Source organism: Homo sapiens, chromosome 20 (assembly GCF_000001405.40).
Source record: "Homo sapiens chromosome 20, GRCh38.p14 Primary Assembly".
NCBI classification, from domain to species: Eukaryota; Metazoa; Chordata; class Mammalia; order Primates; family Hominidae; genus Homo; species Homo sapiens.
In genome coordinates, this window is record NC_000020.11 from 58,436,163 (window position 1) to 58,451,822 (window position 15,660).

The 15,660-nt window shown below is 42.6% G+C and overlaps 1 protein-coding gene across 4 annotated transcripts in view, besides 1 other annotated feature; it reads left to right on the plus strand.

The window, feature by feature from the left end:
- VAPB (VAMP associated protein B and C) overlaps nt 1-14,939 on the plus strand; it is a 61,873-nt gene extending 46,934 nt beyond the window's left edge. The window contains exons 4-6 of one of the 4 annotated variants that reach the window (XR_001754433.3): nt 2,783-2,863; nt 2,984-3,146; nt 4,745-4,922. Coding sequence is in view for 2 of the 4 variants with exons in the window: in NM_004738.5 (NP_004729.1) it covers nt 2,783-2,863; nt 4,745-4,921; nt 7,915-8,073 (417 nt within the window). In the remaining 2 variants the exon portion in view is untranslated. Of the gene's footprint in view, nt 1-2,782; nt 2,864-2,983; nt 3,147-4,744; nt 4,923-7,914 lie in introns of those variants that run through there. The other 3 variants (NM_004738.5, NR_036633.2, NM_001195677.2) reach the window with 3 other exon arrangements.
- Nucleotides 10,315-10,816: an enhancer, noted in NCBI's record as "H3K27ac hESC enhancer chr20:57021533-57022034 (GRCh37/hg19 assembly coordinates)". NCBI's record gives its function as "activates a minimal SCP1, AML or CMV promoter by ChIP-STARR-seq in primed H9 embryonic stem cells {active_cell/tissue: H9 hESC(primed)}" and the evidence as "EXISTENCE:reporter gene assay evidence [ECO:0000049][PMID:30033119]".

The following is a 15,660-nucleotide window of genomic DNA, read 5'->3' on the forward strand; positions in this document are numbered from 1 at the left end:
TAGTTCCTTGTATGATGATATAAGTTTAAATTTTTTTTATATAAAATGTACATTGTGGGAAATTTTGGAAATACACAAATGAAAAAAATTTAAAGTGACCCATAGTTCTTTTCTACTAGGCCTAACCATCATTAATGAGAAATGAGAGCTTTGTGTTTTTCTTCCTTTTTTTTTTTTTTTTTTTTTTTGGAGACATGATTTTACTGTGTCACCTAGGCTGGAATGCAGTGGAGTGATCTCAGCTCGCTGCAGCCTCCACCTCCTGGGCTCAAGTGATCCTCCCACCTCAGCCTCCCAAGTAGCTGGGACCACAGGAGCGCACCACCATGCCTGGCTAATTTTTTTGTAGAGACAGGTTTTCTCCATGTTGCCCAAGCTGGTCTCAAACTCCTGGACTCAAGCGATCTGCCCACCTCAGCCTCCCAAAGTGGTAGGATTACAGGCATGAGCCACTGCCCCAGCCTGCTTTTTCTTTATTTTAAAATGTTTTTCTTTTTATTGTGATATACAGAAAGTTGAAAAAATAGCATGGTGACCACTCATATAACTTTTACCTAGATTTACATTTGTTAACATGTTGTGACATTTGCTTCCTTTCTGTCACAAACTTTCTTATTTGCTTGAGATGCAAATTTATGACACTTCACCCCTAAATGCTTCAGAGCAAGGACAGTCTCTTATATAGTCATGATACTATTAATCATAGCTGAAAAAAGTAACTTCAATTCAGTATTATTATGTGATAAATTCATATTCATTATTTCCTAGTTGTTCCAAAAGTGACCTTTAGTAGAGGACACCCAAACCTTTTTGTTTTTCAAACTTTGAACTTTTTTTTTTTTTTTTTTTTTTTTTGAGACAAAGTCTTGCTTTGTCACCAAGGCTGAAGTGCAGTGGTGCAGTCATGGCTTGACCTCCACCTCAGCTGTTCGAGTAACTAAAACTACAGGCATGCCACCATGCCGGCTATTTTTTTATTTTTTTATAGAGTTGGGGTCTCACTATGTTGCCCAGGCTGGTCTTGAACTTCTGGGCTCAAGTGATCCTCCTGCCTCTGCCTCTCGAAGTGCTGGGATTACAGGTGTGAGCCACTGCACCCTGCCCAAACTTTGAACTTCTTTTTTTTTTTAAGAGTCCAGGCCAGTTGACTTACAGAATGTCCTGTATTCTGGATTTATTTGATTATTTCCTCATGATTAAATTCAAGTTAAATGTGTTTTGGCAAGAATATTCCATAGTTGGTATTTCATACCAGGTTGTTCCGCTGTTGGTGATGCTGTTTGATCACTTGGTTAAGATGGTGACTGCCAGCTCTCTCCACTGTCATAGCACAAAGCACATTTGCCCCTGTGGTTAATAGGTAATCTGTGATACTCTGAGTCATCTGATACTTTGAGACCATGTGAATATCCTGCTCGCCAGCAGTCTTTCACCTGGTGCTTTTAGCATTCAGTGATGATCCTTGCTTGATATTTTTTTTGACTTATGTGGTAGGCACACGTGTACAGGTGTGTGTGTGCAGAGGAGCAGACTTCAGTATTCTTTGCGATTTTTTCACTTAACATTCTGGACATTTTCTCCATCTAACTGAGTGCTCTTCAGCATCATTTGAGTGGCAGCATGCTGTTCCGTTTAGTGGATCTGCCATAATTTTTGTGGCAGTCCCCTAGGGTCAGATGTATAGATTGCTTCCCACTTTTGGTTCTTGGTACCTGTGTTACAGTAGCTGCCTCTTGCATGGTTTTGGGAAGGGTTGAGGGCATGGAGGGTGGGGGTGCCTTCTTTTTCTATATCATAACCTTGCTGCTATCCTGGTCTGTAATCCTAGAATACCCTGGAATTCCCATCTTCTGCTGCCAAAAGGAGAAGTAATCAGGAGCGTATCCTCTTAGGACATGGGATTTAGCTAGGAAGGTGCTCTCACTACAGCCTGGAGGGATGGAGATGGGTCTTGGGGTAGACACAGCCCACACACTGCCACAGTGACAGAGGAGGGATTTGGTAATGAATGTGTTCCGTTGGTAGTTGGCAGAGTGGTTCTGAAACTAGTCCCAGATAGTATGCGCTTATACTTTCTAGATATGCCTTTAAAATAAGTTTCATTTTCTCATTTTAATTTAATTTATTATTTTTGAGACAGAGTCTCTCAGTGTCCCCCAGCCTGGAGTACAGTGGCATGATCATGGCTCACTGCAGCCTCCACCTCCTGGGCCCAAGTGATCCTCCCTCCTCAGCCTCCTGAGTAGCTGGGACCACAGGCATGTGCCTCCATGCTTAGCTAATTTTTTAATTTTTTTGTAGAGATGACGTCTCCTTACGTTGTGCAGACTGGTCTCAAACTGCTGGGCTCAACCAGTCCCTCCACCTCAGCCTCCCAAAGTGCTGGGATTACAGGCATAAGCCACCATGCCCAGCTGAAAACAAGTTTTATTTTCATAAGGAGAGCCAAGGTTACCTGGTCATCCAGACATTGTTTAGAGGATTCCTTTTTGTTCAGTGGTGGGCCTGTCCCACAGAGTAGCAACATGGGGAGCATTGGTTGACTTTGAGGAGTCAGGCAGCAAGACTTCAGGGTTTATGAAGTGTAATATTTTGAGAAAGTGAGTGTATTTAATCTTGTCATGTTACAAATATTGAAATCTCAGCAGACTTCAGTTCTTTATTTGATATACATCAGGGCTTTCTCATTAAGAGTATTTTTCTGAAATTGTCAGTTATAGGAAGAAAGTTATTCTTCCAGCAGGTTTATAATATCTTGATTATTAAATTTAAATTGTTTTAGTGGAAGGAGGCAAAACCGGAAGACCTTATGGATTCAAAACTTAGATGTGTGTTTGAATTGCCAGCAGAGAATGATAAACCAGTAAGTATATTTATAGTTAACAATAATTGAATGTTGTAAGCTGATACTTATTTGCATACCATTTCCTGCAAAACCAAGATTTAAGTTGGCAAATTATTTTCCTTTATCTGATGTCTGAAGAAAAAAAATAAGCTGAAGTCAGCAAATAAGTGGGCCTTTATGAAATCAGCCTTTGAAAAACTCACGGAAAGACAACTGATTGACAGTGTTTCCCCTTGAAAAGTGCAGCCCGATGGCCATTGAGATGTCATAAATCCTGAAGAGCTTCTGTGGCCTGGCAAAGGTATAGGTTGCTGTTAAACAGTGGGTGAGAGTGAAAGAGGGAACAATTTGCCCTTTATCATGGTGGTTGATGGACGTGTGGGAAGCTTTCAAGTTCTCTTGTTTTACAAAGTGCCCTGTCAGCCTCCCTACCCCTTTTACCCTATCTACCTCTTCAATCAAAGGCTGCTTTTAGATGAGGATTTCTCAGCCTCAACACTGTTGATATTTGGGGCAAATCCTTGGTGGTGGTGGAGGTTGCCCTGTGTACTGTAGGGTGTTTTATTAATAGCAGCATCCCTGGCTTCTGCCCTCTTGATACTGGTAGTACTTCCCAGTTGTGACAACTAAAAATGTCTCCAGATATTGCCACATGTGTCCTGGAGGGCAATATCAACCCCCATTGAGAGTGATCCCATTCCGGTGTTGCCTGTGGGGAGAAGGAAGGAGCCCCATCCTCTAGGCTGTCCACTGTGAGCGCTTTACCTTTCATGATCCTCACTTGTGACCAGTTGAAGAAAGGAGACTGTATCTGAAATGCTAATTTGGACTTCCCTTCAACCTAGTCGAAAACATTTTAATTTTTATAAAAACACCAAAACTGTGAAAGCATGCAGCATGTGAAACTATCCTAGCCATTAATAGCTGGAGTTGGGAAACAGAAGTACCCTGAAATGTTGTGTTAACAGTATCTATGTTGGTCTGCGCGAGTGCTGTTGATTTGTGTCAAAACTACCTGAGATTTTATTTCTGCTGAATCATTTACCACTATCATTACCCTGTTTCTTTAAGTGGATAGTGGTCATTTTTTCCCTCTTCCCAGTGTACATCCTGTCACAGGAAGGTCAGTTTGGAAGCTGTGAAAGCAGTATTCTGGCCTCAGCTCTGTGATAGGTTGACTTGGTAGCCTGGGGCCTTGCTTCACAGGGCCTACTCTTCTCATCTGGAAAATGATGGGTAGAGCTAGATTCCAGGCCAATGATCGTCAGTTACTCTTTCCCTGACAAGCTGCGTGCTTCCATGCCCTCCCTCCACTGACTGGCTCTCATCCCCTGTAAATCTCAAGAGGGGATCATAGCTGAATCTTGGCAGGGGAAATAAGGGGAGTATGTAACTTCCCAAGATTGAAACATTGCAGACACTGAGTTTGTTTCACCTTCATCCCAGCTTCCAAATGCTAAGTTGGTAAAGTAATTCGCCCTCTGTCTAATGCTCTCCCAAGCCTCCTAACCCCACTAAGGCAATCCTAGGGATGTTCACATCTTTGTGGTGACAGTAATTTGTGGCTAATAATTCCTGAGCTTGCACAATTACAGTATGCTGATTTTTCCGTGGCAGGAATTTGATAGTGCAATATACACAGCCCTTTTTCTCTTTCTTTGAAGTATTAGTCTCAGCCGAACTTCATTATTTGCCCTTATCCATAATTTCTAGGGCCCTGTTGCTTTAGATTATTAAGATATCAGATAAAGTAATCCATTTTTAAAATAAATGTGACATTTTACAGTGTGGATGAAATGCTACCACGTTTGGTGTTTGCTGAGAACTACTTTACTTTGCATAAAAAAGTCCATTATTACATGGTCGGTGACACTTAGGCTTTCATTTGTTTTTGAACAGCATGATGTAGAAATAAATAAAATTATATCCACAACTGCATCAAAGACAGAAACACCAATAGTGTCTAAGTCTCTGAGTTCTTCTTTGGATGACACCGAAGTTAAGAAGGTTATGGAAGAATGTAAGAGGCTGCAAGGTGAAGTTCAGAGGCTACGGGAGGAGAACAAGCAGTTCAAGGTAATAGTTTATTTTCTGGTAATCTACAGAAAACAAGGGCGTTTTCACTAGCTTCTTGGGTGGGGAAGTTGATGAGCCAGTGAATATATAGATTTCTTTTTGCTTTTGGTATTTGGCTATTTTTTTCTCCCCAGGGAGAAATTTCCATGGCTTTCATGAGAGTCTCAAAAGGGTCCTTGGATCTGCCTAAATTAAGAACCACTGTCCCTTGATCAGAAATTTCTCAACTGTTGAAGCTCTTGTCCCCTTAAAAAAAAAAACAAAAACAAAAAACTTGGCCGGGTGCGGTGGCTCACGCCTGTAATCCCAGCACTTTGGGAGGCCAAGGCGGGCCGATCACAAGGTCAAGCGTTCAAGACCAGCCTGGCCAACAAAGTGAAACCCCGTCTCTAATAAAAAATACAAAAAATTAGTTGGGTGTGGTGGCAGGTGCCTGTAATTCCAGCCACTCGGGAGGCTGAGGCAGGAGAATCGCTTGAACCCAGGAGGCGGAGGTTGCAGTGAGCTGAGATCGTGCCACTGCCCTCCAGCCTGGGTGACAGAGCTAGACTTCGTCTCAAAAACAAAATAAACAAAACCCCAAACAACTCAAACTCTCCATTATTGTAAATTGAAAATAAATGTTGAGACCAAAATAGTTTTTATTTTGAATATGCATTTTTAAACCACTTGGGTGAGAATCTTTTTTCAGAGAGTGAATACTGACCTATACTCTGTTTTAATGCAAGTATAGTTCTGATTTTAGAAGACTCTAAATAGGTCTGGGCAGTTGTGGCTCATCAAACTATTGATGTGGTGATGAGCTTGGAGGTGGGGTGCCTCACAGTGGGTAGGAGGTGGAGATTATGGAAGGAAAATCTGAGCTTCTAGCTTCTGGATGAGGCAGTTGGCATTGGCAATGGAAGGTTGTATTGTACTGAGTGATGAAGTGGGGAGGCAGGGGGTGCTTCTTTTGGCTTGTGGTGGTGTGGAAGTTGCTCCCATCCAATATGAAACAGCTCTGAATCTGTGCTGGTCACAGCATCTCTTAGGCCTCTGTTTGCTAAACACCTCTAAGGCCCCTTCCAGCTTTAAAAGTATGAGTTTTCTTCTCTTTTACTCTGACAGTGAGGTAGATATAGGAGAACTGACAGCATTTGGGAAATGGCATCATCTTCTTCCTTTGCAGTGATTTTGATTTGCCTCAGTCAGTAATTTCTTTAGTGTGTAGTAAATTGTGAAGCTGACACTACTTTTTGGCTAAAAATCTAAGCTATGCCTGAAGCTTCTCGAGTGTATTTCTCTTCTGAAACAGAGTTCTGTGCTATTTAAAGTGGTAAATAGGTAGAAATAGCTTCTATATAACCTAATAAAATAAATGGTTTAGTTTGCCGGGTTTTTTTTTAAGCCAGTCGGACACCACCAGTTGTTTATCACTGTGCAGTGATACGGGCCATGCCCCATGAGCAGAATATCCTTAAAATATGATCAGACCAATCTCAACATTAGAAGATTCTTTATCCTGCCAAACACTGCCTTCTTGTTTTGTGTTGGTTTATTCTGTCATCTGGCCAACAAATTTACTGAGGGTCTAATATGTGCCCGGCACTGTGGATTCAAACACGAACAGCCCCTGCCCTTGAGGAGCTCTCTGTTGTTGGGATAGCAGGGAGAGACATAGACAGAAGTGATTACAAGCCAGTGTGATCAATGTCCCACAGAGATAGCAACAAATTGCAGGGAGAGTCAGCTCCATGGGACTCATCTGCCTGTGGTCCCCAGGACCTACTAGGTACTCGGGCGGATGGGAGCGAATGGAAGGAAACGAAGAAAAGAAAGTACAGCTGGTGTGTGGGGTTTAAGGATGAGGAGATGAGGTAATTAGCAAGAGATCTATCAGCAAAGATGAGTCTGTGCCAGAATAGAATGGCTTGATGCATGTCCCTCTTCAGGGATGTGGGCTTGGCTTTGAGAGCATGGAAATGGCATCATAGATCTACATAGTAACTTGCAGATTCTTAGGAAAGTGCAAGGCAGTTGTGGCAGTGGAGGTGAAGGAAGAAAAAATTTTTCATTTCTTACATTTCCATGTAGTTTGGGGACAAGGGGAGGGTGGGGAATATGGTCAAATATCTTTATATGTATGAAAAAGAATGTTGCTTCTTCAATGAGAAATCTATGCATTAAGTAGAAAATATTTGAGATGAGTGTATGAAGGCCAGTCACATTTTAATATTCCAAATATCATTTGATCCAGCAGTCTGGATGTAACTCATTAAGTACCAGCTATCTACAGAGCTCTGCATTTGAAAGCTTCCAGATGTCCCACTTTTAGGTTTTTTTTTTTTTTTTTTTTTAATATGGAGTCTCACTCTGTCACCCCAGGCTAATTTTTGTAATTTTAGTAGAGACGAGGTTTTACCATGTTGACCAAGGGGTAGTCTTGAACTCCTGAGCTCAGGTGATCCACCCGCCTCAGCCTCCCAAAGTACAGGGATTACAAGCATGAGCCACCGTGCCCAGTTGACTTTGTAGATTCTTTTATTTATATATTTATGTCTTGGGAAATGCCTGTGATTTTAAAAATCGATGATTTGATCAAGGAAGGCTATTCATTAGAGGCAGGAAGGACAGAGAGGTTGGGGTTGAAGAGAAGCATCCGGAAGACATGGCCATAGAGGTGGGTGGGGCCGAGGGTGCAAAGGGCCCAGTTGACCCTTTTAAGTGCTTTTTTCTGTAAATCACGGGAAACCAAGGAGCACCCTGTTTAGATGTCTGTTGTAACTAGCAGCAGCAAGTGGAATGGATGAAAGAAAAGAGGGGACTGTTTTCTCAGTGGCTTCAGGCTAGCCCTTTCCCCTCTGTAGCCTGCAGTTTCTCCGTTTGCAAAATGCGGTTGGACCATATCATGTCATCCAACACTGGGCATAAACAGCCCATCCCGTTAAGCTGTACAGTTGACTCCCCTTTCTGGTGCCTTGGCTTGTCTTTGAAATGTGCGTTTGCTCCCGTAGGAAGAAGATGGACTGCGGATGAGGAAGACAGTGCAGAGCAACAGCCCCATTTCAGCATTAGCCCCAACTGGGAAGGAAGAAGGCCTTAGCACCCGGCTCTTGGCTCTGGTGGTTTTGTTCTTTATCGTTGGTGTAATTATTGGGAAGATTGCCTTGTAGAGGTAGCATGCACAGGATGGTAAATTGGATTGGTGGATCCACCATATCATGGGATTTAAATTTATCATAACCATGTGTAAAAAGAAATTAATGTATGATGACATCTCACAGGTCTTGCCTTTAAATTACCCCTCCCTGCACACACATACACAGATACACACACACAAATATAATGTAACGATCTTTTAGAAAGTTAAAAATGTATAGTAACTGATTGAGGGGGAAAAGAATGATCTTTATTAATGACAAGGGAAACCATGAGTAATGCCACAATGGCATATTGTAAATGTCATTTTAAACATTGGTAGGCCTTGGTACATGATGCTGGATTACCTCTCTTAAAATGACACCCTTCCTCGCCTGTTGGTGCTGGCCCTTGGGGAGCTGGAGCCCAGCATGCTGGGGAGTGCGGTCAGCTCCACACAGTAGTCCCCACGTGGCCCACTCCCGGCCCAGGCTGCTTTCCGTGTCTTCAGTTCTGTCCAAGCCATCAGCTCCTTGGGACTGATGAACAGAGTCAGAAGCCCAAAGGAATTGCACTGTGGCAGCATCAGACGTACTCGTCATAAGTGAGAGGCGTGTGTTGACTGATTGACCCAGCGCTTTGGAAATAAATGGCAGTGCTTTGTTCACTTAAAGGGACCAAGCTAAATTTGTATTGGTTCATGTAGTGAAGTCAAACTGTTATTCAGAGATGTTTAATGCATATTTAACTTATTTAATGTATTTCATCTCATGTTTTCTTATTGTCACAAGAGTACAGTTAATGCTGCGTGCTGCTGAACTCTGTTGGGTGAACTGGTATTGCTGCTGGAGGGCTGTGGGCTCCTCTGTCTCTGGAGAGTCTGGTCATGTGGAGGTGGGGTTTATTGGGATGCTGGAGAAGAGCTGCCAGGAAGTGTTTTTTCTGGGTCAGTAAATAACAACTGTCATAGGGAGGGAAATTCTCAGTAGTGACAGTCAACTCTAGGTTACCTTTTTTAATGAAGAGTAGTCAGTCTTCTAGATTGTTCTTATACCACCTCTCAACCATTACTCACACTTCCAGCGCCCAGGTCCAAGTCTGAGCCTGACCTCCCCTTGGGGACCTAGCCTGGAGTCAGGACAAATGGATCGGGCTGCAGAGGGTTAGAAGCGAGGGCACCAGCAGTTGTGGGTGGGGAGCAAGGGAAGAGAGAAACTCTTCAGCGAATCCTTCTAGTACTAGTTGAGAGTTTGACTGTGAATTAATTTTATGCCATAAAAGACCAACCCAGTTCTGTTTGACTATGTAGCATCTTGAAAAGAAAAATTATAATAAAGCCCCAAAATTAAGAATTCTTTTGTCATTTTGTCACATTTGCTCTATGGGGGGAATTATTATTTTATCATTTTTATTATTTTGCCATTGGAAGGTTAACTTTAAAATGAGCCCTATCACTGAGAAATACGTGTTTCATGATTTAACTCTGTGTGTGTGTGTGTGTGTGTGTGTGTGTGTGTGTGTATTTTTTTTTTGGTTGTCTTCAGCTGACAGTATGAAAAATGAAACTGCTGAAAAAGCTGAGCACCTGGTCACCCTTGGCCTTCCATTGCTTTGGCCTTCAGTAAAAAGCAGCCTCCCTTCTAGGTCAGGGAACCATGCCATTGAGACTAGTAACGGGCGTTCTGGGCACAGTCCCACTGTGCACAGGTTTGAGAGGACAAGTTCATCAGAAGGAAGGCAGTCCTTAGAAGTCACATACGTTGAGCCACGTTGCTCCTAAGCCTGGCTCTGTCAAGCTGGGTCAGGGGCCTTGAAACTGGAGAAGTGGAAGTCTATGGTTGGTCTGAGTAAGTAACTTCCTGTCTTCATGAAAAAAGTTGACTTTGAATCCCAGGTACTCACAGAAATGGTGAACAGACTTAGTTGTTACCCAGGCACCCATGGATTGTGTTGAGTGTGCAGACAGGGAGGCCACCCCAATAGGAATTCGTCTCCAGGATTTTTCCCATGTGTCCCCCAGTACTTATAAAAGGGAGTGAAAAGACCGAGCTGTAAGGCATGTGCCTTCTGCCACCTGACTTTCCGTGAGGGGACTAAAATTTACTAATTGTAGTTGCTGCAGCCAGTTAAGTCCTGTAGCTTCCAGGCCCTCATGTCTTTGATAGGAGAGTGCTTAGGTGGTCCCCAACAGTGCCTAGGGGTACAGTACAGTCCCATTACACTAGAGCAGGGCTCTATTTATTTTTAAAGGATATGGCCGTGTGTTTTGATAAAACTTTATTCACAAAAACAGCCGGGTCATGGGATTTGGCTTGTGAGTCTGTAACAGTTCTTAAAAAGAATATCTGAGAAACTACTCTGTTTTAGACCTTTGAAGGTGATTTAGAGTTTTGTGTACATCTAGGAGAAGGTGTTCAGCTTCTCAGAGGATGTGGACATTTTGGTTGCAGCTAAAAATCAGTCTCTGAAGTCTCTCTCCCTTCTAGAGGTTAGGACTTGGTGAACATGTTTGTGGGCCTTTTGACTGAGTGGCAGAAGGAAACTGCTCAGGAAGAGAAACAGGTGACTGATGGGAAGGTTGATTATTTTCTCAGTCATCCTGGCAGCCAAAAATGTGCCAGGAAAAGAAAGAATGTGGAGCACGCGTGGCTCCTGGAGGACTTGGAGATGCATGCACATTTAGGGTGTTTTCCCTAGAATTACATAATGAAAAAAAGAATAAGGCAAAGAGGAGGTGAATATGGGGCCTGTCACAACGGCCTGCCCTGCCCCAAGAGGGTTAAGAGTCAGATAATCGGGACGAAACTGGCATGGAAAGAGCGAGCCTAGGGAGGATGCCGCTGGGCAGTGTGCATGGGGGAGCTGCTGCCAGGCTGCCCTCCAGTCTGCTCCTGTGGTTACTGGCTCCACAGCACCTCAGAGAGGGCGGCCCTGGCTTCAGAAATGCCAGCCATAGTGCTCACAAATGCAGAAGAGATGGAAGCGGTGACAGAATCCTGAAAGTTTTTATTGATTGAAGTTTTAAATTGGTAACTTAAGCTTCCTTGGCACGATACAAAATACCTCTTAAAGACAGCAGGCTTTTTTATTTGTAGGTGTGAGGAACTGGCTTTAACTTTTTTCTCCTCCTAGTTTGCATGTTTTCCTTCTCTCGTCTTCTGAACTGCTGGCACCAGCAGTAATACATACTGATAAAATCAAAATTGATTTTTACCAGTGGCCAGTTTATGGCTAGAGAGACGACTTATACCTCCATAACACAGAAGGGGGAAAAATGAAGAACCTCCAGTGATCCGTGAAAACCTAAACGCTTTCAAACAAATCCCAGGAACAGAATTGCTATCGAAAGATATCATTGCCCAGTTTGCAGGCTATGTTGAGTCAGATAGAACTGAATGTAGTGAGAGCTCAGAGCTACAGAGCCTTTCAGATGAATTTGAAAACAGACTCTGTGTGTGTGTGCATGTGTGCATGTGTGCATGTGTGGCATATGTGCCGTATGTCAGTAGCTTGACAGTTTTCAAATCGTGCCTATATTTTTTTGCATACACAAATTTTTGTGTTTGCAAACTCAGAATCCATGCCAAAATACAATGTTATATGTCATTTTCAGCTCCTTCTCTAAAGGAATGGCCCATTTCTCATTGTAGTTTGAGAAATACATGTATGAAGAGATAGGGGTCTTGGGCTTCCCAGTGTCACTTTGAACACCTGAATAACATTTAACTCCTGAGACCTTCTCGGTGTAGAGGCCACTGCTTCCCCCTGCTGGAGATGGCATTTCATTGAAGGGCCTCTCGTGGCTTTCCCTGCCCCCGGCTGTCTGGCCTGAAGAAGGAGAAAGAACCAAACTGAACTATGAAAAGTTACCACTCTGAGGAGACCTCTCTTAATTAACACTTGGGGCCATGTTTGCTGTTGTTGAGAAGGAGTGTTCTCAAAGATGAGCTGGAATGGAATTGTATTTAGAAAGGCCCCTGCAAAGTATATAGATGGATGACTCTAGTTCATGACATACAAATCCCATAAGGCCAACGACCACTCTTCTGGAACACCAAGAGCAGCTCTGAGATCATGCTGGCCCTACGCGAATTGAGTTTCTGTGGCCTAATTGGATTTGGAGAACGCCTTCCCTGGCCCCTTTTCCTCAGACAGATCTGCTCTGATAGGAACCTTTTCAAGAAAGTTACTGTTGTTTCAATGCCACTCCTTACCTGTATAGAACATTTCCAATACATTCGCTCATTGAACTTAATCCTTGCAACTGTGACTGGGGGGTAGATGGCTCTGTTTGCATACGAAGAAATAAAGGCTCCAGGAGGTTAAATCGGGCAACTTTTTAGAACTAAATCAGTCTCTGTAAGGCCTACATTGCTAAGATACCATTTCAGCTCTGAAAATCTGCTTCAGGGAAGTGAGTGGATGAGGCCTTCCTGCCTCAGCTACTCTGCCCGTCTGTACATCTTTTGTGTCTGCCTCCGTACCTTATTCAGTTATTTTCACACTAAAGTAAGTAGAATTAAGACTGTAGTTCAGATGCTTTTTCTTTTTCTGTTGGAAACTGAACACACTACAGACAGTGAAAAAAGGTACATATTCCATTTTCTCATTGCCTGAAGATCTCTGCTGATGCTCCTGGAGAATGACTTTGGGGGCTTTAGAAAGAATATTGCCAGTCCGTCTCGGCAAGGAGATGATGGGAGCGCTTTATATGGAGGCTTTACATGACTTGTAAATTAAATGTGAATGAGGGCAGTTGATTAAAATTGGTATTACAGAAGGGCCCTGCTGAGGTTTGAAAACAGCTGAGCTGCTGATGTCTCAGGCCTTTCCCTGAATTAGCACTGCGGTTCTCCAGGATATCAGCAAAGAGGGCAAGTAATAGAAGCCCCTGATAAGGAGCGTCAGCCGACAGGCAAGCTTGGGAGGCTGTGGGAATGGGTCTGCCCCCAGCTTCACAGACCTCTTCCTCCAGCCTCTGAATCCCATTAGCCACAGCCTAGAACATTAGCTGAGCTGCACAAGCTCACCCACCCCTGTGCCAGGGGGCCCTGACCTCCCTCCATGCCATGTTTTTGGCTGTATCTACGGCACTTAACAATAGGGGCTTTTTATTTTCATTACAGAGATATTTTGAAAAATTTAAAAGACATGAACTCACATAAACAGTTATGGATGATAGTTAAAAGAGAAACGGGTGGAGGTGGATGAGAGGTTGTCTTCATGAATATAATTACTTGAGATTTTTTTTTCTTAATGGAATTAGTTTATTAGAAAATGTCTGTGTTAAATCCGTAGAAAAGGAAGAAAAGTGTAGCAACAAAAATGTAGCCATTATCTAACTTGCCATAAATATTTGCAGTTATGATACCTTGGAATGTTGCCACGATATGGATTGCTTTGATTAAAAGATGTCAGTTGAATAAAACAGTACTGTGGGAGAATCGCTTTCTGCTGCTAGATAAATGCTGATGTTTATTTTTAAACCAGGAAACATTGATCCTGTAACAATGCCCGATTACAATTGCTTTATTACACCCCAGGGCTGATGGAGATGTAATCACTTGGCTAATGGATGTGGGTGCAGGACAGATGCTCGCTTGCTGGCCTGCTTTCCTGCTTGCATTCTGATGAGCTGCAGGAGTGCGCCTGGCCTTCTGCAGGTGGAGCTGCTGTCAGAGCTTCGTTTCACTGATACCCAAAGCCATGTCTGACTGAAATAAAACAGGTTCCCTTTTTTTTTCCCTTTGGAAAATGCCAACTAAGGGAGACTAATCAGATATCTTAACACAATTTCATCCAGGCTTAGTGCTAACAAGATTGCGGGGCTTTTTAGGGTTTAAGAAGATGAGAAATGAGTGTGCACGTTTCACACGTTGACTTGCCGGTTTTTCCATGTCATACAAAAAAGTCCTGGCTGTTTCTCCGAACTGGCTGCCTGCATTCCCGTCTTTCTTTTGTTTTTAAGAAATAGACTGAATTCAGCTGTTAATCCTCTAGTACAGTATCCATGTTAAAATGTTTTTCCATTGCATCTTTTATGTGAATTCAAAGGTCAGAATTTATTGTCTGTGATATTGAGACCATGTGTACAAGAACTACTTTTTGCTTTTCATCATTCACTCCTTAGCAAACGTTTCGTAAGTACCCTCTGTCTGTTTGCTACTATATGAGGTGCTGCGAAATTAGTGGGCGTGGCTTTTTATATTTTTCATTCGTGTGTAGCCTAAGTAAGGTGACTCAAGATGATACACCGAGAGAAAAATGCAAAATATATTTGGTTCTCATTTCTGTTGCTGTCGTTTCCTTTTTAAAGACGATTTATCAACTGCTGCCATTTGGAACTTCCTATAAGAAACTAAAAATGATCTATTTCAGTGTTCCTTTCGCCTTTCCTCTGCTTTCTGAATAAATGGTTTCAGTAACCCATGCTGTTCTCTCCCTATTCTACGTCTTTCTCCCTATGTTGAAAAAAGATTCCCACAGTTTCTGATGTGTGTGTTTATAGTCTTCAATGTATGTTAACATGTTAGGAACTGAGTATCTTAAGAGATGTCTTAGAATGCTTTAGTTTTCATAATTTGTCCTTTATGTATTTTTCATTGTATTTGCTGTTTTGACATGGAAGTAATTTAAAAAGTTGGTGCAGGAAAGGACTCTTTACTGTTGCACATTTTGGTTTTCTGATATGTAATAAATTCATGGCTTGGCAGCTGACATGATGTTTCCCAGAGAGAAGGAGATGTATTTCTGCAGGGTCCAGACCAAAAGAGCCATTTACAGCATGTTCTCCCATGTTCCATTATCAGCCTGATGAAACCTGCCCTGCCAAGGCATAAACTTTTGTACTAGCTGTCTCCATATTATGTTCAATAAATTCTGTGCTCTGAATATATTTAAAGGATGCTTCAGTGTAAAATTATTTTGAATGGATGGCTTAATTCCATTGAGATAGGCTTTGGAGTGTGGACTAGAGCCCGTTGCTCGACTCTCACTGCTTTGTAGGAACATGAAATTGGTTTAAATTAAAATCAGAGACCTTTTGCACCAGAAAACAGATCTAAGAGATCACTTAGGTCAACGTCTTCATTTTACTGATGAGGAAACTTTTGCCCAGAGAGCTTAAGCACAGGGACCAGCTTGCATGTCAGTGTTTTCCTATTGGGGGAAGTGTGTGTCATCAGTGATTTACAAAGGTACCCACCTGTGTAAATTGCTTCCAGCTTTGAAAGGTGGGTGGATTCTGTCTTTTAAGTAGTGGTTGACAGTTCTCCATCTTACAGTGTTACCTTGTTAAAACGTTAATGAAAACAATTTTAACTTCTTTTGGAAAAGTAAGGTGGGCAAATGGTAAGACTTCACACAAGACCAAGGGGTACACAGTATACAAAATCAGGTTTCCTCCATTCCCAAACCTTTCTTTCTCCAGAGATATCCTGAACTTTCCATGTGTTGACTCTTTCTGGAGATCTTCTATGCACATATATGTCTGTGTATATACAGCCTTGTGTTTTCCTTTTGTTTTGAGACAGGGTCTCACTCTGTCATCCAGGCTGGAGTGCAGTGGTGTGATCACAGCTCACTGCAGCCTCCACCTCCCAGCCTCAAGCAATCCTCCCACC